Raw genomic sequence first — 23,589 nt, 5'->3', positions numbered from 1 at the left:
CGAAGGAGAGGGAACCCTGATTCCCGGTGACTCATCCTGATTTCATTGGCAGGAACAGCTTGGGAGCAGAGAGGGAACTGCTCAGATTGCCATAGTTAGCTAAAAATATCTCTTGTGTTAAAAAAAAAAAAAAAATCCTGAGCCTGTGTTTGAGTCTGTTTGTATTCTCTTTATTTGTTCTTACTCTGTTCTATTTGGCCCCAGAAAGGGCTCCCCATTTCAGAAAGAGAATGTCTGGTACAGGGGAGACGCTCAGTAAATAAAAGACCCCAATTTGTTCTCAAGCCATGAATATTTTGCAAATTAATGCAAAGTTCTGGTTTACTAATTAATCTACTGTGCATTTGGTTAATTTGAATCAGTCCTCAGGGTCAGACAGTCCTGGAAGGGGGAATAGAAAAACTGGCAACTGAGGTTATCAATCTGCAGACAGACTTTGAACTCTGGTGCCCCCCACCCACTACAGCCAATGAAAAGGGCCTTGAATGACACAGGAGCTTTCTCCCTTTCCTTTGAAAAGTGTTTGTCCTTTCCTGGTGGCCTAGTGGTTAGGAAAAAAGAAAAAAAAAGTTCTAAGAAAATAAAAATATTTCATAAACCTCATTACCCAGAGATGAGCATTCTTAAAATATGTATGATTTGTTTAGGTATGTGAATGTATACATGTATATTTAACAATTTGAGTCATATTACTATGTTGCTTTTTTCTTAATATATCAGTAACTTCAACTTATTTCTTTCAATATTGTGAAGGAATGACTACATTTAATGGTCATTGATATAATTCATTTAGTCGTATATACTTGGTTATCTTAAATTGTTTACAAACTCACAATTATGAACAATTCTAAAGACACCATCCTTTTTTTTTTTTTTTTTTTTAAATCTTCGAGACAGAGTCTCACTCTGCTGTCCAGGCCAGAGTGCAGTGGCGCAATCTCGGCTTACTGCAACCTCCACCTCCCGGGTTCGAGCCATTCTCCTGCCTCAGCCTCCTGAGTATCTGGGATCACAGGCGTGGGCCACCACGCCCGACTAATTTTTGCATTTTTAGTAGAGATGGGGTTTCACCACGTTGGCCAGGCTGGTCTTGAACTCCTGACCTCACATGATCCACCCACCTTGGCCTCCCAAAGTGCTGGGATTCCAGGTGTGAGCCACCATGCCCAGCCCACCATCCTTATACATAACATCGTGTGAGCTACCGCTGAGCATTTTGTTAGGATGAATACTTAGTAACTGAAGGGTCAATGAGTATAAATATTGTAAAAGGCATCTGCTATACAGTGGCAAACTATTCTCAAGGAAAGTTGATCCGTGTGCATCTACCTGTGTGAAGCCTGTTCCTTGTACCCTCATGAATACTCCTGTATCCCAGACTGGGCAACATAGTGACACCTCATCTCTATAAAAATAAAAAAAAAATTATCCAGGTATGGTGTTGTGCGCCTGTCATCCCAGCTTCTCGGGAGGCTGAGGCAGGAAGATTGCTTGAGCCTGGGAGGCTGAGGCTGCAGTGAGCTGTGATCACACCACTGCACTCCAGCTTGGGTGACAGGCAAAGACCCTGTCTCAATAATAATAATAAAATTATTCCATTCAGAAATAGTCTTCATCAACTTGAGATGAAAAATTTTAAAAATTTTACCTCATTCTTTGAATGTGCATTTCACTGATTACTGGTAAGGCCAGATACTTTTCCGTGTGTGTTAACATTGTATTTTTTTATGTTGTGAGTTTTCTTTCACATCTTGTCTTTTGGTATGTCTATCATTTTCTCTTTGCTTTGAAAATGTGCTTTATAGCTCGCTTCCTGCAAATACCCTCAATTTGCAGTTTGGTGTTATGTAGGGAGGGGAGTGTTTAACATAGCTTTTATCCATTTCTTTTCTATTCCCCTCGGTGGGGAGTATTTCTCTTTCTGCCCTTCTTATGTGAGTTTAACAAGGGGATAGAGAAAACATTTGTGAAGCTGTGCCGGAATCATCAATATTCCTTCTCTATAACTTTGAGAAGGAATATGTAACAATATTCCTTCTCAAAAACCTCAATGTTTTTTGAATTCTTATGCTTCTATTATTTGCTCGTGATAACAAGAAAGGCAGGTAAAGCAGCTATGATCCCATTACATAGATGGTAAAATAAAGATTGAGAAAAATGGCTTGCACTAGATAATTCAGGGGTGGAGAAGGGACAAGGATCCCTGTCTTTTAACCTCCCCCAGCCCCAAGTTTTTCTTCTTGGTGATAGTGTGGGGCAACAAACCAGGTCACTTCAATTTGTCTCAAACAAATGCAAAGAATGCAATACTGCTCAAGCTTCCCGGCTTTAAATATGTTGCAGACTTCCTCTGTCACCTCCTAGATATCTTACGAGTACCCTGTGCCCAAACCTTCTCAGAAGTTAATATTTTGTTAACTTTTCTTTGGTTCATGGAATGACTAAGTTTTGGACTATTTCTTGAGGAATGGGAGACTTATAAAACTAGCATTTCCTGTCTCACAGAATGTCTAGGCTTTTATTTGTTAAACACTAGGCATTTGACAGACTGAGATTTCTATCAGTCCCAAGGAAATGGTGTTCACCAGAACAGGGAAGGAATTCACAGTCCTCTAAGTGGAAACACATGCCAGACTTCGGAGTGAGAGGCGGGATGCCTGCAGGATGACAGCAGCAGTGGAGCAGACACATTCACATGTCACTCACTGGGTTTTCTCCCTAAAAGGAAATCACTGGAGAGGATCTCCTCTGTTTAGCCTCTGCAGGCCAAAAAAGAAAATGTGTGTGCTCTACAGTATCTGAGTTCTCTCTCTGGTGAGTCAAAGAACCCAACCACCATTAGCTGCTTTTTTTTTTTTTTTTTTTTTTTTGAGATGGAGTCTTGCTCTGTTGCCCAGGCTGGAGTGCAGTGGCATGATCTCAGCTCACTGCAGCCTCCACCTCTTGGGTTCAAGCAATTCTCCTGCCTCAGCCTCCCAAGTAGCTGGGATTACAAGTGCCCGCCACCACGCCTGGCTAATTTTTGTGTTTTTGGTAGAGTTGGGGTTTCACCATGTTGGCCAGGCTGGTCTCGACCTCCTGACCTGAGGTGATCCGCCTGCCTCGGCCTTCCAAAGTGCTGGGATTACAGGTGTGAGCCACCGCGCCCGGCCCCATGATTAGCTTTTAATCACCATTTTCAGAAGGAGGTTGGTGGCATGCGGGGGCCGGGCTGGGGTGGCTTCCTCAGCATGACGTCTGTGCAGATGAGGCTTTGCATCGTGCTCCAAAAATACTTACCATGTTTTGCCAGAAGAGAGGCCACCTTCTGTCCTCCGCTGAGGATTTGAGTCCTTTTGCCCTTGGTGAGAACACCAAAGAGGACCGCCGGAATGCGAGTTCAAAAGCAGATTTCAATCCTAAATCTCTTAAACAGTCAGCATTGGCTTGTCTCACTAGAATACCCTGTTTCTCTTCTAGAATTCTTCCCCTGCCTGCCCCCAAAATGTGAAGCTTGCTGAAATCAACTTGAAAGGAGATAGCACATGCCTTTTGTTTCTCCGCTCTCCCCCTATTTCTCTTCCTTCCTGCTCCCTGCATAATCTGAATTCTCTGAAGGCAGGGGTCCTGTCTTACTCATCTTGATGTTCATCGTGACTCGTACTGGTTTTTAACAATTACAGAATAACATATAAGCTCATTCACCCTTGTTAGAACACTACAGAAAAGGCTGAAGTCTTCTTTCTCTCCCACTCTATTCTATCTCATCTCTCTTCAGAGGTTGCCACCATGATAAACTAGGTAGACATCATTCCAGACATTTTCAGAAGAGTTTTATATGGTTTTGTTGTGTGCATTTAAAAAAAGCCATCATCCTGCATGAACTGTAGTGCAGCTTGCTTCATCCAATTGACTGTGCCTATGATCTATCCACACTGATGCAACAAGATCTAATTTTGCCTTTTCATTATGTATTAAGTACATACGTGATATGCAATAACCTGGCATTTTATTTAATCAATGCTTTACTATTAGATGTTTGGGTTGTTTCTAGTTTTTGCTTTAACAAACAATGTTACATAAGCATCTAGTGTTCCGTTAAGTGTTTCTTTAGCAAAAGTATCCAGAAGTGAACTGCTGGCTCACAGAGTATGTGGAGTTTTAATTTTCAGAGGCAAAGTAACAGATTCTTGATATCTACCAGGGACACAGTAGATACTTGTTTAAATAAGCAGACGACTTGTTGGCAGGATACATGATACAGGCTACAGAAGAAACACTCAGGCCTGAGAGTCAGCAAATCTCATTCCAGACCTGCTGTTGCTATTAATATTAACCAGTTTTTGGGTATTGGACATTGTCTTCCCTTCTCTGAGCCTCAGTTTCCTGACCTGTACAATGAGGGGGTTTGGTCAAATGCTCTCAAGTTCCTGTCAGTGATCAGAGCCCATTTATTATATAAGATTGGTACCTGAGGGGTCCCCAGCCGCTCGATCAGAGGGACCAGGTGGAGCGGGGCATACTTGGCTTCCAGACGTTTCATCCGGACCTCCAGGCGCTCCCCCTCTGCAAAAGGAGTCGCAGAGCAGAAAATGAGACTCAGGGAACACAGGGCAACTGGGGAAGGAAAAACTCCCAAAGGACCTGATGATGTATCTGCATTCCAAAAATGGGATGGAGTGTGTGGAACTGCTCTCCTTCGTTCTGGAAAGTGTGAGTAGTTTTTACAAGGAAAAATGTTCTATGATTTGTCCAAGAATGGAATCGTCTGCCTTCTAGAATATCTCTAGTATAGTGGTTTAATATATTAATATATATATTTAAATTCCAAGTCTAGATATCACTATACTAGAGATATGTTAGAAGGAACAAGGGACAGGGCCTGGAGTGTCATTTCTATAATCTTATAAGGAATTTGTTGAAGAATTTGAATGAATGACAGAATCAAAGATAATAGGCCTCAGAGTCTGTCTGGTTGGTCATGAGGTCAGCAGGCTCAATGCAGGTGGCTAGGTCCATCTTCCAATTTGTGATTCTGTGGCTATTCAATAGGTGTCCAAAGCTTTAACCTTCCCCCTTGCTGACTAGATCTGAGTTGACTGCAATTAGGAAGTGAGAATAAGGTTCAAACGCCAGTTGGCTATTCAGCTGCTGTAGTGGTTTCTTACCTTTGATGTAGACTCTAGGCAAGATGTTTTGGAAGGGTGCGGCATGGAGCAAATCGCAGACCTCCTCCTGAGACTGCAGAGATGGGGGTAAAGAAAGAGAAAACAATTTTCATTTTAAACCAGGAAGATTTTTCATTCCTAAAAACCTGAGCACTGGAGTTAGCTAGACCTGGGTTCAAATCCTGGCTCTTCTACTCACTGTGACCTTGGGCAAGTTACTTAGCTTCTCTGAGTCTTTTTATCTATCTGCAAAATAAGGATGAGAACAGTACCTATTTTAATGGGTTGTGAGGATCAAACGAGAAAATGCATAACCTTGTGGAATAGTCACAGGTACATAATGAGAGCTCAATACATTTTTACTATAATCTTATCAGGAATTTGTTGAATTAGGATGGATTACACAGAATCAAACATATGATGGGCCTCAGTCTGTGTCTTTTTGGTTGTGAGGTCTGTAGGCTCAAGGCAGGTGGCTAGGTCAGTCTTCCAGTCTACAAATCTAGGACTCTGTGTAAAGGCCTATGTCTGATTGGTTTTCTCCACACCAGACATCAACTAGCAAGAAAAGAGGGACGAGAACCCAGGCCAGATTGGTTTCAATGGTTATTTGTTATGTGCAAAGATAAACTTAAAAGCAAACATACAGTGGTTGGAGGGGAAGCTTGGTTAGGGCAAGACGGGAGATAGGGTCTCATGGGCTTACTGTCCTGGGACATGCTCACAATCCCTGGATTTCAGAACAAAGGGGAGGGAAGGAGTCTGGAGAAGCCATCCTCTGCCGGGGTTTGCTTTCTCTTCAACTATGGGCATTTGGATTAGGTAGGATCCAGGCTCCATTTCAAACTCTGACACTTTGGGATTCTAAGCATCTGAGAAAATCAAGATTGCAGGTGTCCTTGCCTTCTTCTACCCCGGGCATGGATGGAACACTGCCAATCCAGGACTCTGAAAGGCCAGCTGTTCAAGAGGGGAGCCCCAACTCCTGTTTAACTGCAGATCAGTCCTAGAAATGAGGCTACCAGAGGAAGAACACTCTGCAGTCCCCTCACAGGAGCCTGATCTGACTGTCATTCTCAGTTTCTTATCCAGAGGGGAAACTTCCCCCTCACCCCTTTTTTTTTTTTTTTTTTGTGAAACGGAGTCCCATTCTGTTGCCCAGGCTGGAGTGCAGTGGTATGATCTCGGCTCACTGCAGCCTCTGCCTCTTGTATTCAAGCAATTACTCCTGCCTCAGCCTCCTGAGTAGCTGAGACTACAGGCGCTCGCCATCATGCCTGGCTAATTTTTTTTTTTTTTTATCATACCTACAATGTGATAGCATTTATTTACATCTAAAAACATGTACAATAATGATATGTATTGTTCAGTGATACATATGTACAAAGTAAAGTAATAAAGAAATTCGTGGGAGTAAGAACTACCAAATCCAGAGTAGTGGTTATGTCTCAGTGGAAAGGGAAGGCAAGGTAGTATGTGGTGGAAAAACACAATTTTTATTCTATTTACAATGTTTTCTTTCTTAAGCTGGTGGTCGGATATATAGGTCCGTATTATTTCACTCTGTTTATCATTTTCTATGTTTGAACCTGGCTAATTTTTGTATTTTTAGTAGAGATGGGGTTTTGCCATGTTGGCCAGGCTGGTCTCAAACTCCTGACCTCAGGTGATCTGCCTGCCTTGGCCTACCCAAGTGCTGGGATTACAGGTGTGAGCCACTGCGCACGGCCCTTTCCTCCTTTCTTAAGTGAGGTGTTTGTTTCTTTCCTTTCTAGTAAATCCCATAACCTGGCCTTCATTGCTATGTCTAAGCTTAGATCCTTTGATTCATCATATAACCTGAAAACTTTGCTTACTGATCATTCAGGCTAATCTTTCATATTCACATGGTGAATTACATTGGATGATTTTTGAATGATGAGTCAGCCTTGCATACCTGAAATAAACCCACTTGATTATATTATACTTTTGATGTATTGCTCGATTTTATTTGCTAACATTTTGTTGAGGATTTTTGCTCTGTATTCATGAAGGATACTGATTTGTAGTTTTATTTTCAAATGCCTTAGGTTTTGGTATTAGGGTAATGTTGACCTCAAAAGATGGGGAGAGTTCCCCTTGTTTGTATTTTTTGGAGACAAAACCACCTTTCCAAAATTATAACAGGGGACATTATGACAGTGAAAGAAATCAGACCTAATGAACCTCATTTTGCTTCTAACCTGGAAGCTGTTCTTGTTCACTCCTGGGCAGAGGCCGGACTAACTTGGGGAATGAATTCAGTTCATGGTTTGTCTCTGAAACAAAATTGATCATAGCCCTTTCCTGAAAAGACCCCTTTCTTGCCTGAGGACCAGTCTGCCTTTGCAGGACTAACAAATTAGCTACAAGATTAGAAATTACAGTTTAGGGGTCACGGAGCCTCTGGCTCCAAGAGTCTGAACCTCCCCAATTGCCCCTGGTGATAACATCATTATTGTAAAACCCAAGATCAGTGCTTGAGATATTTTGCAGACCCTGCACTCCAGTGGATCAGCTGACACCATCCAGACTGGTATCTGGCTCAAGGAGTTCTGCCATCTCACCCAGGAACAGAAAACAGCAAGAGAAACTCACTTCGACCCTCCATGATTCCATCTCCAACCTGATCAATCAGCACTCCACGCTTCCTAAGCTCCTACCTGTCAAATTATCTTTAAATAATTAAATTATTTAAATTATCTGATTCCCGAATGCTCAAGGAGACTGATTTGAGTAATAATGAAACTCCAGTCTCCTGCATGGCCAGCTTTGCATGCATTACTCTTTGTCCCTTGCAATTCCCCTGTCTGGATAAATAGGCTCTGTCTGGGCAGTGGGCAAGGCGAACCTGCTGGGCGGTTACAGAGGAGACCATGTAGAATTGGTACTATTTCCTCCTTAAATATTTGATGGAATTCACAAGTGAAACCATCTGCGTCTGGTGTGGGTTTTTTTTTTTTTTTTTTTTTTTTTGAGACAGGGTCTTGCTCCCTTGCCTGGGCTGGAATGCAGTAGTGTAATCATGGCTCACTAGTCTTGACCTTCTGGGTTTAGGTGATCCTCCCATCTCAGCCTCCTGAATAGCTGGGACTACAGGTAAGTGCCACCAAGCTGGCTAATTTTTTTGTAGAGACAGAGTTGGGAGTTTTTTTTTGTTGGAAGTTTTTTTTTATAAGTAGGAATGATATTTCTTTAATAGATACAGCACTATTCAGCTTATCAATTTTTAAGTGAGTTTTGGCGGTTTGTGTCTCTTAAGGAATTGGCTCCTTTCATTTAAGTTTAATTTATGGGGTAATTTCCTCAGTCTTTTGTCCTTTCATGGAAAGGAGTCAAGATACTAAATCCTGTTACCAAAAGCAGCAGTAGAGATGTAAGTATATTATCTATAATCATATAGATATGACAAGAGAAAACAACAGAAGCAGTAATATAATCAAATTTTGAAAGGAAGAGAGGGAGAGAGATAAATGAGATAAAATCTCATCTTTCCAAGTAGGGAGTCAGTAAGTATTGTCTAAAGTTGCTAATTAAGAAATAGGTTACCCTCATGAGTGTTATGGAGGTAACTGGAAGAACTGGAAACAGGATAGGCTGCCCTGGGAATTGGGAATGCAGGTGGGCAGAGGTGCAGTGGAGCCAAGTAGGATGTTTTTCATCAAAAGCTCATCTGTAGTATTTGATTTGTTATAATGTGCAATTAAGAACTTAATGGAATTAAGTTATAATGTGCAATTAGCAACTTAAACAAAATGAAGAGGCTGGATTAAATGGTCTCCAAGTCTCTAGAACCAAGAGTCTGTAAAATACAACCACTTTTCTCTTCAGAGAAGGAGAGGCAATGAACATTACTGAGCACTAACGAATGAGCTATTTGCTTTCTGTCAGTCGCCTGCTTTATGCTTCTGGACAGCCCTGTGAGATAGGGCTCACTGTCCCCATCCTGTGGACAAGGACATCAAGGCTGGTAGTAAGGTGAACTTTCCTAACTAGGTCCGCACACAGATGCTTAAATAAGCAGTAAGGCTGACATTTCGATCCAGGAGCCACTCCACTTCGACACCCGTTGTTTTTCCATGGCAGCCAATGCAGCCAAAGCCTTGGGAAGCCTGACTTTCCCCCTTCATTATATATACATGTCATTAAATTGCAAAGTTACCAAGAATAGAAACAGAAAATCACTTAAAATCTTAACACCTAAGAAACTTCAGCCTCACTCACATCTGACAGGATCATATCATTTGTTGACTTATTGGGTTTTTGGTTATAGCAACTAACATTCTTGAAACTGTGGTATATATGCAGTTTGAAGAAGAACAAGAGTCTGAGCTACCTTCTTCTGTACAAAGAAATAGGAAATTACTGATACCTTTATTCCCAACTTCCAGAGGTAGCCTCAATCCTGAATTGGTTTAAATAATTTCTTTGCAGATGGACTAATTTTTATAAATCTGTTGATGTTATTCCAAGTCTATAATTAGACCACTCACGTCAGTTTGTACCCAAAAATTCCTTCTTCCCTGACCCTCTTACCCCCACCCAAAGTTTTCTACCCAGTCTTATCCATCCCATAAAGCCCCATTTAAGTTTTACCTTCTAGGAGTCTTCCAAGCCCCTCCAGCCCACAGTGCCTTTGCTTTTTAAAAACTTACCAGAGCTTTTATTCATTCAGGGCTTCCACTAAGCCATCTGCACATTGGGCTGTCTTATCTAGCCCAGGGTCCTGAAATCTGAGCTGCTGATGGAGGACCAGGGCAGTGACCCACATCTCATGTAAACATTGATTGAGAATCTTCTTGAGGGACAACCCATGTGCAGGACCTGCACGTTCTCTATATTTTTCTCATTGGCATGATATGAGAGGCCAGCAAGAATACAGAGAACATGTGTATAATAGGATCTAGATACCCAACAAGGTTGTACCAAATTCTGAAGACTTTCATTCTGACTTGAATAGAGCCTGAGCCAGAGATTGTCATTCTTTCATTTATATAGCAAATAATAGGCACAAGGCTTTCTGCAAGGTGCTGGAGTAGGTGAGGGAGACCAGATGCACAACCCTTACCAAGATGATGACAAAATAAGTCAAAACTAGAATGGGCAATTCTAGTAAGTGCTACAATTGGGGTATGCCTGGGGTCTATGGGGATGCAAAGAGGAGCAACCAATTCAGACTTTTGGGGAGGATGATAGGGAAGACTTTCTGAAGAAGGACGCTAAGTTGAACCAGGGGTGAGTGTTGGACAGCTAAGGGGGAACAGTACCTGCAAAGGCCCCAAAGCAAGAGGCCACAGTAGGGCAGGGCTGAGAGCCAAGGTAGACTGAAGCTTTCAGTGCTAGAGGAAAGTGATGTGAGACAGGAAGGAGGGGTGGGCAGGAGTGGTTTGGGAAGAATCTTCTAAGCCTCTCTTAGATTTCTAGACATTATCCTGATGGTTTTCATCAGGGAAATGGCCAAGCTGCAGTTTCACCTTCTGGTTGCAAGGGAGAAAGGATTGGGGAGAGCAAAGGGGGTGTTGGAAGAGTCCAAGCAGGAGAAAGCAGGGCCAGGAGTAGCGGCAAAGGAGATAGAAGGAAGTGAGCAGAGGCCAGAGACCTGATGACTGGACCTGAGGGCGGGAGTAAAAGGACCCCTGCCCAGGGCACCTGTATGACGTTGGTACCGTTTATGGAGTCAGAGAACAGCAAGGCTGCAGGCAGGAGGAAGCCAAGGTCAGATTCAGGCAAGGTAAATTTCTGATGTGTGTGGACACGGAAGAGAAGATGTCTAAAAGGCAACTAGATGTGAGGCCTAGGCCCTGCAGAGTCTGCAGAGTAGATCTGAGCTTGGAAGTCAGCATGGGATGGAGGCTGACCCCAGGGGAAAGGAACTGTGCAAGTGCAAGGTTTGCATAAGTGGGTGCTTCTCAGGGTGACCAAGACCCTTCCGGAGACTTCAGTTCCTCTGACTATATGAGACCCAAGAGAAAAACAGCACAAAGTGCTCCTTGAGTTCAAGGGAATACATAAATTCTGAACATTTCCATGTCTACTAGCATACAACCTAAACAGGGATAAAAAGACACCTTTCAAGTCAGAAATAGGGAAGATGCCACTTCTCTGCATTTGCTGCTACCTCTTTATTCCTTTCTTTAGGTCACCAAATATCTATTGAGTGCTTGCTCTGTGATCTGGCAGACAACTCAAAGGCACAGAGATGAAGATGAAACACACCATGGAGCCAGGGAAGGGCCTGGATGCTGTGGGAAACACTACAACAGGTAGAGCTCTGTAAAAATGAGATTTCAATGAAGTTTACCATCTAGTGGAGAAGAGATCCAAGGACACCCGTGACTGAGAAATAAAACAGAATCAATTGGGTGCAATAGGAGAAGTTGCTGACAAAGGGCTTTGGAGACTGAGAAGAGAGAGAAACACCACCAAGTTCCTTGCAGAGAAAGGCATTTGATAAAATGTGTGTTGAATAAAAGGACCAGCGGTTTGTGGAGGATGAGGAAATGATGGCTGTGAGATGGGCCTGAGAGGAGGGGCAGGGTTTTGAACTGGGAGGAAAGGTGCCATCCCATTCAGGAGGAGGATGAAATCAGGGATAAAATGAGGTGGCTGATATGAAAGGAGTGGGGCATCCTTGGCTTGGGCTTGTGAGGAGTGTGGGCCACAGTGCTATGGGCAGTCAGGAGCCAGGCTTTCAGTTCTAACGGGGCTTAGAGAAAAGGCCGATTCAAGTCTCTTTGCTGATGGCAAGAGGAGGAAAGGGGGCTCTTGGTAACCGAGGACCTGCTTCTTAAGCGCTGGAGACTTCGCATTCATTACCTCACTTAACACTAAGAACTCTGTGAGGTAGCTCCTCAGTCCCAGCACTTTTCAGGCGTGGAAACTAAGGCTTAGAGAAGGAGTGTACCATCTTTTGGCTTCCCTGGGCCATACTGGAAGAAAAATTGTCGTGGGCCACAGATAAAAATAAAATACACTAACAACAGCTGATGAGCTAAAAAAAAAAAAAATCGCAAAAAAAAATCAACGTTTTAAGAAAATTTATGAATTTGGGTCGGGCTGCATTCAAAGCCGTCCTGGGCCATGGGTTGGATAAGCTAGGCTTAGAGAATATAACAGAGTCTCATAGCTATCCAGTATAGAGGCAAGACTTGAACCCAAGATTTCTGAATCCAAAGATACATGGTTTCCAGTGGAGACCATGGAAATCAACCTGAAATCAGGCTGAGAGAGCCTCATGCAACTCACCCTGCCCTTCCCCTTGGCCTCATTCTGTGTAAGAGTCTCCAGACTTAATGACACCAGTTCTTTGATAGGCATGGTGTCTTCCTTTGGACACAGGCAGAGTATAATAGAGCAATACTTCTTATTAAATGAAGAAATGGGTGATAAACCAGAGCTATGGCCTCTCAGGATTGCCTTGCTGCCAAAGGCCTGGTCTCATCTCTGAGTGGCCATTGGGCCTACCAGGCAATCATCTTCTTTAATATCAACCTCACTGTGTTCTACTTCATAAGTCTTATAGCACTAGATAGGACAAAGGCATGAGGATTCCTGGGTGCCTTTAACAAGTCTCAAGTTGGGAATGCTGATTTTAAAACTCCAAGTGGCCACTTAGAATCTTCTGGGTAGTAAATGTCCCCAGCATGAGTTTCCCTTACTCGTCATTAGGCAGCAGACTCTGCCCCCTAGAATGAGTCTCCTTCAGAACCATAATGGTGCTGGGATGGAGAGGCTGGTCTTGCAACGCAGTTGATGCATCAGCAAAGACCCCAGGAACTAACTATGTTTATTACAAGTGACTGGAATGTGCAATCAGCAAATTTACAGACAGGAAATAAAGATGAATTAAGTTCGCAATTTAATTGGAATAGAGACCCACAGTCCTCCTTTCCCCATGCTGCCTTGAAAAAGGAACAGCTGACTGGTGAGCCCTATCCAGTTAGTGTCCTGGGCTTTGCTACATTGCCTTGCCGTACAGGACTGTGCATCTGACCAGGTGGAAGTGGGCATTTCAGGAGGAAAGCTGCTGCCCAGATACCAAAGCAAGACAAATGCCAGCACCTGCAATGCTGGAACAACGGGCAGTTTCCAGGGGTCTCAGATCATTGCTGCTTTTGCTGGGAGACAATGATACCATCTTGTCAGGGTTTGTGCTTATTTTGGGGGTATGGGGGGAGTTTATTACCCAAGGCTGCTGGGTATAGTTTATGTAGCAAGTGTAGTACCCAAGGGCATCACATCCTAGGGAATGCCAAGCACACTGCAGAATCAGAGATTGTTTATAATCACTTTCTAGCAGACGTTATTCTTTAAAAATTAATATATTTAAAAAGAGGTGAAATGTCCTGAGGAAGGATACCATTTTATGATTTCCTGAAGGCAACATGTGTGCTAGTGATGGCCCTGGGGTCACCTCATACATCAACCACTATTGAGAGGCAGCAGTGGCTTTTGGAGAGGATTCTGACACCAATTCAGGTGCAGCAGGATCGATCGACAGCCATGGTGAACTAGAAAAGGGCAGTGGCATTCAAACTACAAATCTGCTGTTCTTGATTTCCAATGACCATCATCATTAATAATCTAGTTACTGTACATGTGGTATTTGACTTGAAATTTGTCATTTTCTTCTGGGAATGCACCAAATACTTAATTCAACCCCTAGGCAAAGACTGTCCTCTGGAAAATTACTAGCTTAGATATGTTTTAATGATTGCCACTCTAGCCTCTTTTCTTTTTATTGGCTAGCTTTATGTTCGCTTTCAAAAAATTAGAAAATGCAGATAAATTTTTTAAAGGAGGAAAAAATGTATAACTCCACCACCCAGGAGTCATCACTGCTATAGCCTTTTCCAGAGTTTGAACTGCCCAGTTCTTCTCTGCACATACCATTTCAGCATATATTTTAAAATAAGAACAGATTATACCTACTCTTCTGTAATCTATTTTTATCATTTAGTATATACTATCAGCATCTTCCCATGTGCAGTACAAAGCTTCTATCTGGATTTTTTTGGGCCTATATTTAGTTATCCTACATCCTTTTTAAAATGATCATCCTACTCCTCAAAATTATTTGATAAATGAATATTCACTCAAGTACCAGCTCTCAGAGCATGCTCTTTCTCCCAACACATCTCGGCAACCCCATTTTAGTGGGGCCTTCTAAAGATCAGATAACATTCCAAACCCATGGAGCGAGTCTCTAATAGAATTTCAGACACTGTGATAGAAAGTGGCAGTGCTCTTTCTGGGGGGCTGAAGGGGTGTTCTTGGTGCCCTTGAATTACAAGGCCAAGGTCGTAAATGTCAACAAGCCTTAAGGTAGAAGCCAAGGACAGTGGGATTCAGTCTTGCCCTGATGCAGACCTGCAGTGAACCTCAGTTTCTTTCTCTGTAACTTGACCCCCAAAGTATGCCATGTGGTTGGGTTGTGCAGCCAGGCAGAGAGTGGTAATAATAGATAAGTTGGTGGAATAGGCATGGCTGAAATCTTCTGAGCCTTGTGGGTCAAAGTTGGGAGTTTGAATTTTAAGTATAACAAGAATCCACCTGTTAGTTTTAAGCTGGAGAGTATAAAATTTATAATGTATGAAGACCCCTTTGCTGTTAATGTTAAGGCATGACCCTCTCTCGGCTCAAGCGTGGAAAGGCAGTGACCCTCAGTGGAGCTGGGTTTGAGACATTTCTCTTAAACAGAGCATAGGGAGAAGGCATTCTTTGTGTGTGTATTTGTGTGTGTGTGTGTTTCTCTGTTAGTATTCCTGAAGCAGAAGGTAAGCCTTCCCACCACGGCCAATGGGAGGAGGGTGGCTGCCAGAGGTGTTCTCTAAGGGTCTCTCACTGGCCTCTAATTTGGACCGGCCAGCTTCCCTGGCTTCATTTGTCTTTCTTGGATCTTAAACTGGTATTTCCTCATGGTAAATCAAATAGGTGGTCAGCCTGTAAGTCACAGCCAAGTTCGATGCTAGCAAATGCGTCTATAAATTTTTTTAATGAGGCCAGATGTAGCTCCGGGATATATGTTACCAAGAATAGATCTTACCAACTAGCAGGGTAGCTGGAAAAGACAAAAACCCTCATGACTTTCCTCCTCCTCATATGTCACAACCTTGTCTGGTTTAACCCCTTTCCTTCTTAACTTTTTGATCCCCTGTTGAAGTTTTATGTCCCCCGCTTCAACTTCATATTAGGAAAAATTCTAAACACATAAAATATTTGAAGGAATAATGAATATCCTTATAACCTTGATGTACAGTCAAAATGAACATTTTGTCATATTTGCTTTAACTTTACTGAGTCATTTGAGAGTAAATGGAAGACATTGAGTCACTTCAGCCTTAAATACCTAAGCATGCAACTCCTAAAAACAAGGACATCCTCCTGTGCAACCTCAGAATTGTGATTCCCCTATATTTAAAATTTTCTTAATATGATACACGATGTAGTCTAGACTAAAATTTCCTCAATTGTTCTTAAAATGTTTCTTTTATAGCTTTTTTGTGGAACCAGGATCTAACCATGATGAGTTTTCCAAAGTGTGAATAATATGCAATTGTTATACAAAAACAACGAACTTCAACGATCCCTCCTTGGAGAACTCCCAGGAGCTTGTGCTTCTGCAGAAGTTTCTCTCTGGGAGGAGTTAATGAGTAAAAGTTATGATTCAGTAGTTTTGCATGTACCAAGTGTCACGCTAATGTTTATTATTCCCACTATATGATAACTACAAGAGAAATAATCATTAGGTGATTAAGAACCACAGTCTGTCTACTGTAAAATTGCTGTGTTGACAGTAAAAGCAAAAAAGGTTTTTAGGGTCAGGATGCAAAAATATTTTACTGTAAGGAACTCACATCAGAATTTAAGGGATTCATGTTTTATTTTTGCATTACTTTCTGTCTTAATTTAATTTTCTTTTCATATTATAGTTAATTTAAAACTGATGGACCACTAGTTTTAAAACTGAGGGATTCCATCAAATATCAAAAACCTTAAGTGTTCCCAACTCACTTAGTCTATGAGGCTAACTGGAGACTTGATTTCTCTTGGCTACAGGCTACCATAAAGATTCCGCGTACATATTTTAAAAAGATTCAATATGATCCTAAGAATGCCAGATTTATGCAGAATGGCATTAGACTCTACCTTTAGGGTTCTGTTCACAGCTGAGTGAAAAACTACCATTTTTAGCTGATTTCCTAAAGAGCATCATCAAACCAGTATTTTCTTAACCTTTAACTCTGATTTTTGAGGCAACAAAAAGACAAATAACACTAATGCATTATGTTTTTGTATGGAGAAAGGAGCTGGAAATGGGAGGTCCAGGCACCCCACAGGGATCGCTGCTTGGATTTTCTGGCAGGAGGGGGACGGGGAGCTGGGCCCTAACCAGAGAGCTTAGTGTTCTAAACATTCCCTTATATGGAGGCACATAATGTGTTTCCCGCATACTGATGTTAAGCCCCGAGGATACAGAGCCTGTGAAGCAGGCAAGAAATTAGGCTTCCCACTTGCACCATGACCCTCTCCCCTTGCACAGAATGTACAAGCCACAGCTTCCAGCCCTCATTTGGGACTCCAGGTGCAGTGGAAAGCCCAACCGAGAGACGCTGTCTCTGCTCCTGTTCCACTGGTCCCTCACTTCCAGCAGCTCTTCATAGCCCTTGCTAAATCTATCAGTAATTTAATCTTACCTGATTCTGTGTGTGATCTTTTCCTGTCAATCTATGCCTTGCTTGAATAGTGCTGTATATTACTATGTTTCACTTCCAACCCCTTCCTCCGTCCCCTGAATTGTCAAGGGGATAATAGAATTATTATTCTGGATCAGAATCATGTCTGGTCAACTGGAAAAGATCTATAGCCAGGAAACTGTGGCCTAGAAAGTGGGCTTTCTCTTCCCTCAAGTATATGCCAATGTCTTCCAAGGTTAGCATTTCCTAAAGTGGAAATTGGGCATACAAGGAAATGTGATTTAATCATAGTGAGCCACACAGTGAGCAAGTTCTTTCCTTTTTCAGTTTCCTATCAATCTTTCTGACAACCTTAATGAGAAAGTCTCCATTTGAAACCAGCACATGTTAGCACCTAATATTTACTAATCTTGTTTTTATCAAAGAGGGAGTAGGGCTTGTGTTCAGAGATCTGGGCAGGCAGCAGCTGGAATTATATGACTTTGCTGTATTTTGATTGATTGAATGTATTATTCTGGTTGCTTTCTAATGATGGCAAGGGATGATTTTTTTAAATGGAAGTGATAGTTTCCTTTTAAAATTAAGTTTCAGTAAAAAGATTATGTAAATAACAGAATCAGTGATCTGCAGATGTGGCAAGAACTGTGACAACTAAGCATCAATGTCAAGACTCTGGCAGCTCTAGTCCAAGAAAATGCTTCTAGATCAGAGATCCTCCACTCTGACTGCACATCAGAGTCAAGTGTGGAGCTTTTAAAACATCTGGGTCTGGCCAGGTGTGGTAGCTCATGCCTGTAATCCCAGCACTTTGGGAGGCTGAGGCGCATGGATCACGAGGTCAGGAGTTCAAGACCAGCCTGGCCAACAGGGTGAAACCTGGTCTCTACTAAAAATACAAAAATTATCCAGGCATGGTGGCAGGTGCCTGTTATCCCAGCTACTCGGGAGGCTGAGGCAGAGAACTGCTTGAACCCAGGAAGTGGAGGTTGCAGTGAGCCGAGATCACGCCACTGCACTCCAGCCTGGGTTACAGAGCAAGACTCTGTCTTTAAAAAAAAAAAAAAAAAAACTAGGTCCATTCTCAAGGATTTTGTTTTCCTTGTGACAGGCCTCAGAGATCAGAATTTTTAAGCAGATTTCCAAGTGATTTAAATGAGCAGCCATAGTTGAGACCATTGCACTAACCTGCACTGCCTCCCTGGTGCTTGGCGATGTCCATTGTAGAATAATACTCAGTAGCGCAGACTGTAATATGACCCTGCCCACTGGGGGTGTCCTCACAGAAAAGTCATTGATACAGAACTACATAACCAAGGCTCTGGTTTCTTGGCAGTTACTGGTAAGGCTCACAAAATAAGCAAAAATTGAGCTGGCTTTGGATGAAGGTGATGGATTGCCTCTGTCTCAAATGGTGGTATCTTGAGGATTTTAGAGGATAAACATTACACCAGGAGGAAGCTGAAATGTCCCTCCCCTGATTTATGGTTAATGAGCCTTGTGTTAGGTGTTGAGGATACGCTAATGACCTTTACCTGGGAAATCTTTCCTATTACTTCTGTCTCCTGTTTCTATGGATCAGTTCTTGTTTTATGCCATTTTTCACTCTATTTTGTATCTAAGCTGAGGGTCTCTGACTACAAATTTTCATCAGTAAAATTCTGAACAAAACTTTAACTGATAAATGTTTATCAGTCAAATCTATATTGTTGCTATTGTTAAATGGTGTGTTAATAGTTAAAAGCTTTGGGAATGGCCGGGCGCGGTGGCTCATGCCTATAATCCTAGCACTTTGGGAGGCCAAGGCAGGTGGATCACTTGAGGTCAGAAGTTAGAACCAGCCTGGCCGATATGGTGAAACCCTATCTCTACTAAAAATACAAAAACTAGCCAAGCATAGCGGCACATGCTTGTGATCCCAGCTACTTGGGAGGCTGAGGGATGAGAATCGCTTGAACCCAGGAGGTGGAGGCTGCAGTGAGCCAAGATTGTGCCACTGCACTCCAGTTTGGGCAAGAGAGTGAGACTCTGTCTCAAAAAAAAAAAAAACAAAAAAACAAAAAACCTCTGGGATCATCTTGCCCACCACTGGAGGGCTTGGAGGGTAACCCTCTGTGCTGACAACCGGCAGGTGGGTGGTGAACAGTGCCATCATGGATGGGATATGCCCTGGAGTCTCTCACTCTGGCTCATGGGGCTCTTGGTCTTGTCTGTGGAACCAGTGACTCTTAACTGTCAGACCATTTTTTCCCAAGTCCTGATATGTTCACACTAGCAGGTTGTTTTTCAGATAAGGCCATTTCTGAAAAGATGTAAATAAAGTCACACAAAGGAAGGGTATTATTGGGAGTCAAAGTGCCTCCATTCCACAAAGCATGGATCGTTTTCAACCAAAAACATAATCTGTGTCTGGGCTAAGAGAAACACTCATACAGAAAGGCCAGAGGCATTACTTGTGGGTGCCTGGGCAAAGGGACAGGACACGCTTCTTGGGCAGCTGGAGGAGTTTTTTTTCCCTCAGAGTGATGGGCAAAATCATCCTGGATCAAGCACAGGTGGGTGTATGGAGTGACGGTCTGAGAGGGGTGGCTGAGATGGGGCTTTTACTTTTTGACTTTCCATGCATTTGAATTGTGTACATTTGCTATGTATGAGTCTTTCCTTTTAAGGAAAAAAGTAATAAATATTTAGTGCAATAAATCTAAACAATAATTTAAAGTCTAAAAAGTGAGAGACACTTCTCCCGTGCCCCTGTCACCCATCACATCCCATAGAGGCAGTCACTCTTCTCACTTTGGTGAGTACTGCTTTTATAACTACTAATTTTATATGAGAAAATCTGCTAGAACATAAAAACATCTGGAAGAATATCCTTTAGAATGTGAACAGAGGTCGGCTGGGCATGGTGGCTCATGCCTGTAATCCCAGCACTTCGGGAGGCCGAGGTGGGCAGATCACTTGAGGTCAGGAGTTCAAGACCAGCCTGACCAACATGGTGAAACCTCATCTCTTCTACTAAAAATACAAAAATTAGCTGGGTGTGGTGGTGCATGCCTGTAATCCCAGCTACTTAGGAGGCTGAGGCAGGAGAATTGCTTGAACCTGGGAGGCGGAGGTTACAGTGAGCCGAGATCATGCCACTGCACTCCAGCCTGGGCAACAGAGTGAGACTCTGTCTTAAAAAAAAAAAAAAAAAAAAAGTGAACAGAGGTCATCTTAGTGTGACAAAGTGGTTTTTGTTTTCTTTCTGCTTCTCTGAGTTTTCAATCAATGAATTTATTTCAATTATGTAATAAAACAATTAGAGGAAAGACATTAAAAGGTAGAAGTAGGAGACAGAAGGTCAGATGTGGAGATGGAACTGTTGAAAAGAACAAAAACAATCGGCAAAGCTCAGCTGGGCATCTGTCTGTACTGTAATACGCTAACCTTAAGGATCTTTGGACTCCAAGGCACATCTGGTTTTCATCCAGACTCCTGCACTAGCTGTAATGCTGGGAAAATCAGCTCCCTCTTGGGCCTCAGTTTTCCTATCTACAAAATTTGAGGTTGCACTAGATGAGCAGTTTCCAACAGGGGGAGGTTTTACCCTCCTAAGGAATATCAGACAATATCTAGAGACATTATTGGTTGCCACAATGAAGGGTACTACTGGAATATAGTCCAGAAATGCTGTTCAACATCCTATAAAGTCCAGGGCAACCCCCTAAAAGATTATCTGGCTCCAAATGTCAGTGGTGCTGAGGTTGAGAAACCAACCCTGGATGGTCTCTGGGGGCCTTTCCAGATCTGACTGGCATTCGGATCTGTGAGTTTGGGTCTAGACTCTCCTCACCTCTGGTGAGGGCAGTAATGCTCTCAAATGACTGACCGGAGTGTTTCTGTGGTCCACTCTAATAAGGAGAGAAGAAGTAACAGAGATGAAGGCAAAGAACACTCCAGGCAAGAGGCCTTGCAGTAAAAGGCAGACTAAAGGGCTCTGTCCTTCCCGGGGGACTCAGGCCTGCCTTCCCTCACACGTACAAATAGGTCCCTCTCCTGGTGTATGCTGGCATAACAAACAATGGCCGAAAGTCTAGAAAACCAAGCAAAATTTAAACAAAAACTTAGTGACTGCTATTTTCCCTAATGACCACTTTCTGATTTCCCAGGGAAGGAAATACTAGAGGAAACACTAGACATTAATAGAATTTCCTTTAAAAACCTGATACATATAAAAATACTTAACAAATGCTGATTTGTTTCAGATAAGATCCAACAAATATATTAAGAGGCTGCGATGACCAGACCATTTATGGATACAAGATAAATGACAGACATAGCACTACCACTACAGATTGCAGGAAGAAGGTCTTTTCAAGAAGTGGTGCCAGAACAATCTGGAAATAAAAGATTTATACTTCCCATTAAACACAAACATCAATTCTAGGTGAATAATATGGACTTAAAGGTCTGTTTAGCGTTGAAAGACTAACCTCTAAAACTTTCAGAGGATAGCCCATCTTCACGCGTTAGAGTAGGAAAGGTTTTCTAAACAAATCACAAAACCGTAAGGGAAAAAAATAACTACACTAAGCCTCAAGAACTTCTATTCACCAAAAGACAAGCCAGAGTAATAGATCTGCAATACATGTATCCATAGTATATAATGGCCACAAATCCATAAGAAAGATGACTTAAAAAGGCAAGAATGTTGACCAGCACTTCACAAAAGATGGTGTCCAAATGGCTAGTAGCATGTGGAAGGAGAATCAGCATCATTAGGGAAATCAAAATCATAATGAAACATGACAGCCCCCCCAGAATGGCTATGATTAAAGAGGGACAAATTGTTTATGAGGCTGCAAAGAAATGATAACTCTCATACACTGCTGAATGGGAGTATAAATTGGTACAATTTGAAAACTGCTTTGAAGCTAACCTAATAGGTATTTCCCTAATAAAAACAGGAGCATCTATACACCAAAACACATGTACAAGAATATTCATGACATCATTATTCATAATAGTACCAAACTATAAACAACCCAAATGTCCACCCACAGTAAAACGGATGATTCAGTTAGTCTGTTCATGCAATGAGAATACTAGAGTAACTGATTCGGTAATAAAAAATGGATCATCTACAACATGGATGAATCTCAAATGTAATGTTGAATGACAGAGGTCAGAAAGGAAAGGGAAAACATACTAGATAACTCTACATGAAGTTCAAGGACAAGCAACACTATCTCTGGAAATAGAACTCGGAACTACGATTCCTTGCGGAACACTGAAGAGGGCATGAAAGAACCATCTATGGTACTATAAATGTTCTGCGTCTAGACCTGGGCTACATGGACATGTGCCTTCATCAAGCTGTACACTTAAGATTTATGCATTTGACTGTAATACATTAATTGAAACCACCAGAACACCCTATAAAAACCAAAAACCAGAAAAATGATGCACAGGTACCTGGGTTTCTGTACTAATATTGCACCCTGAATTTTGAGAAATATTTATAAGCACCTACTAACTTCATGAGGAAAATACCTTTGTCCAAGTGATCAACTGTTAAATTTATATCCCTCTACCTATCAATGATATATTAATCTGTTTTTTAAAAAAAGGCAGAAAAAGACAAAAAATGGAAAAGTAAAATGGGCAAGAGATTTCTTACTTTTTCCTTCGCACTTTCTGGTATTTCCCAGTTTTTCTAAAACTAGCATATACTATTTTAAAATTATAGGTCAATAATAATACATGAATGTGCTTTCCTTGTAAGAAATTAAGACATTCCAGATAAGGCTAAAAAGTCCCTGTTGACCTCTAATCCTGGATTCCTCCCTCATACCTAGAGAAAATGTCTGTTAAATATTGGTATGCTTTTTTTTTTCTAGATCTTTTTCAATGCAGAGTTATTTGTGGTTTATATCTATGGCATCATGTGTGTCTTGTCCTAAAACTTTTTAAAGCTCAATATTGTATCTTTCACTATTTTTTATCTTGGTATGTGCAAAACTACTTTATCAGCTTATTCTTTTTACCTGCTTCAGAGTTTTCCATGAGAATGGACATTCCACAGTTTATACAGCCTTTCCTCTATGATGGCCATTAGGCATCTTTCCTTTTTTTTTTTGGCAATTAGTAGTCTTCTTTCATTGAGAAGAATTGGTATGTCATTTAAAAATTTAATTCTAGCTTCCTAAACTAAAAAAACTCCAGAAAGCTCATGCCTCATTCTAATCTCAGAAAGCACTGTCTAGGCTTGGAGATCTCCCCAGCTGTCTAAGTAGAAAGCAGAATGAGGACTTCAGTGAGCCTAATCCCTGCTCTGTGTTCCCCATCCTTCCCCGACCCCTAGCCCCCAAGGACTGGGATCAATATTGGAAACCTGTGCTTTAGTTCTTCCACCTCTGCTGCTGCTATGCTGTGTGACCTCAGGTGAGTTCCTCCTCTCTCTGGTTCTCAGTTTTCTCACTTATGAATAGAAGGGGTTGAAAGATTCATGCTGTAGCGGGTCTGTCTCAGGTCTCAGCTCTGAAGGTCATTGAGTGTCCTGTTGTCCTCAGTGATACATGTGAGTGACCACCCAGACGGTGCCTGAGGAAGTGGTCCTTTCCTTGCGGCCCCCATCAATAGTCTGCCTCTGGATTCTGAACAGGGGAAGCTGAATTGATGGTCTCTGAGTCACAGTTCCTCATGAAAAGAGGTGCTTAACAGGAGACACTCGGGGACTGAGGCTTCAG

At 42.1% G+C, this 23,589-nt stretch overlaps 1 protein-coding gene and 1 long non-coding RNA gene across 10 annotated transcripts in view; one reads left to right on the top strand and one right to left on the bottom strand.

The window, feature by feature from the left end:
• The window catches only part of CYFIP2 (cytoplasmic FMR1 interacting protein 2), a 129,472-nt gene that overhangs the window by 7,785 nt on the left and 98,098 nt on the right, over nt 1-23,589 (bottom strand). For all 8 annotated transcript variants that reach the window (XM_011534516.4, NM_001291722.2, NM_001037333.3 and 5 more), the window contains 2 exons: nt 5,148-5,220; nt 4,451-4,545 (listed from right to left, as the gene is read on the bottom strand). In XM_011534516.4, coding sequence (XP_011532818.1) covers nt 4,451-4,545; nt 5,148-5,220 — 168 coding nt within the window. The remainder of the gene's footprint in view (nt 1-4,450; nt 4,546-5,147; nt 5,221-23,589) is intronic.
• Nucleotides 1-23,589, top strand: part of NIPAL4-DT (NIPAL4 divergent transcript) — a 97,486-nt gene that overhangs the window by 72,291 nt on the left and 1,606 nt on the right. Inside the window, exons 2-3 of one of the 2 annotated variants that reach the window (NR_136204.1) lie at nt 11,304-11,428; nt 23,205-23,284. This is a non-coding gene — a long non-coding RNA (NIPAL4 divergent transcript). The remainder of the gene's footprint in view (nt 1-11,303; nt 11,429-23,204; nt 23,285-23,589) is intronic. The other variant, NR_136205.1, reaches the window with a different exon arrangement.

Source organism: Homo sapiens, chromosome 5, assembly GCF_000001405.40.
Source record: "Homo sapiens chromosome 5, GRCh38.p14 Primary Assembly".
Classification (NCBI taxonomy): domain Eukaryota; kingdom Metazoa; phylum Chordata; class Mammalia; order Primates; family Hominidae; genus Homo; species Homo sapiens.
Note: the sequence above shows the minus strand (reverse complement) of the source record. Positions and strands in the feature narration are given on the sequence as shown.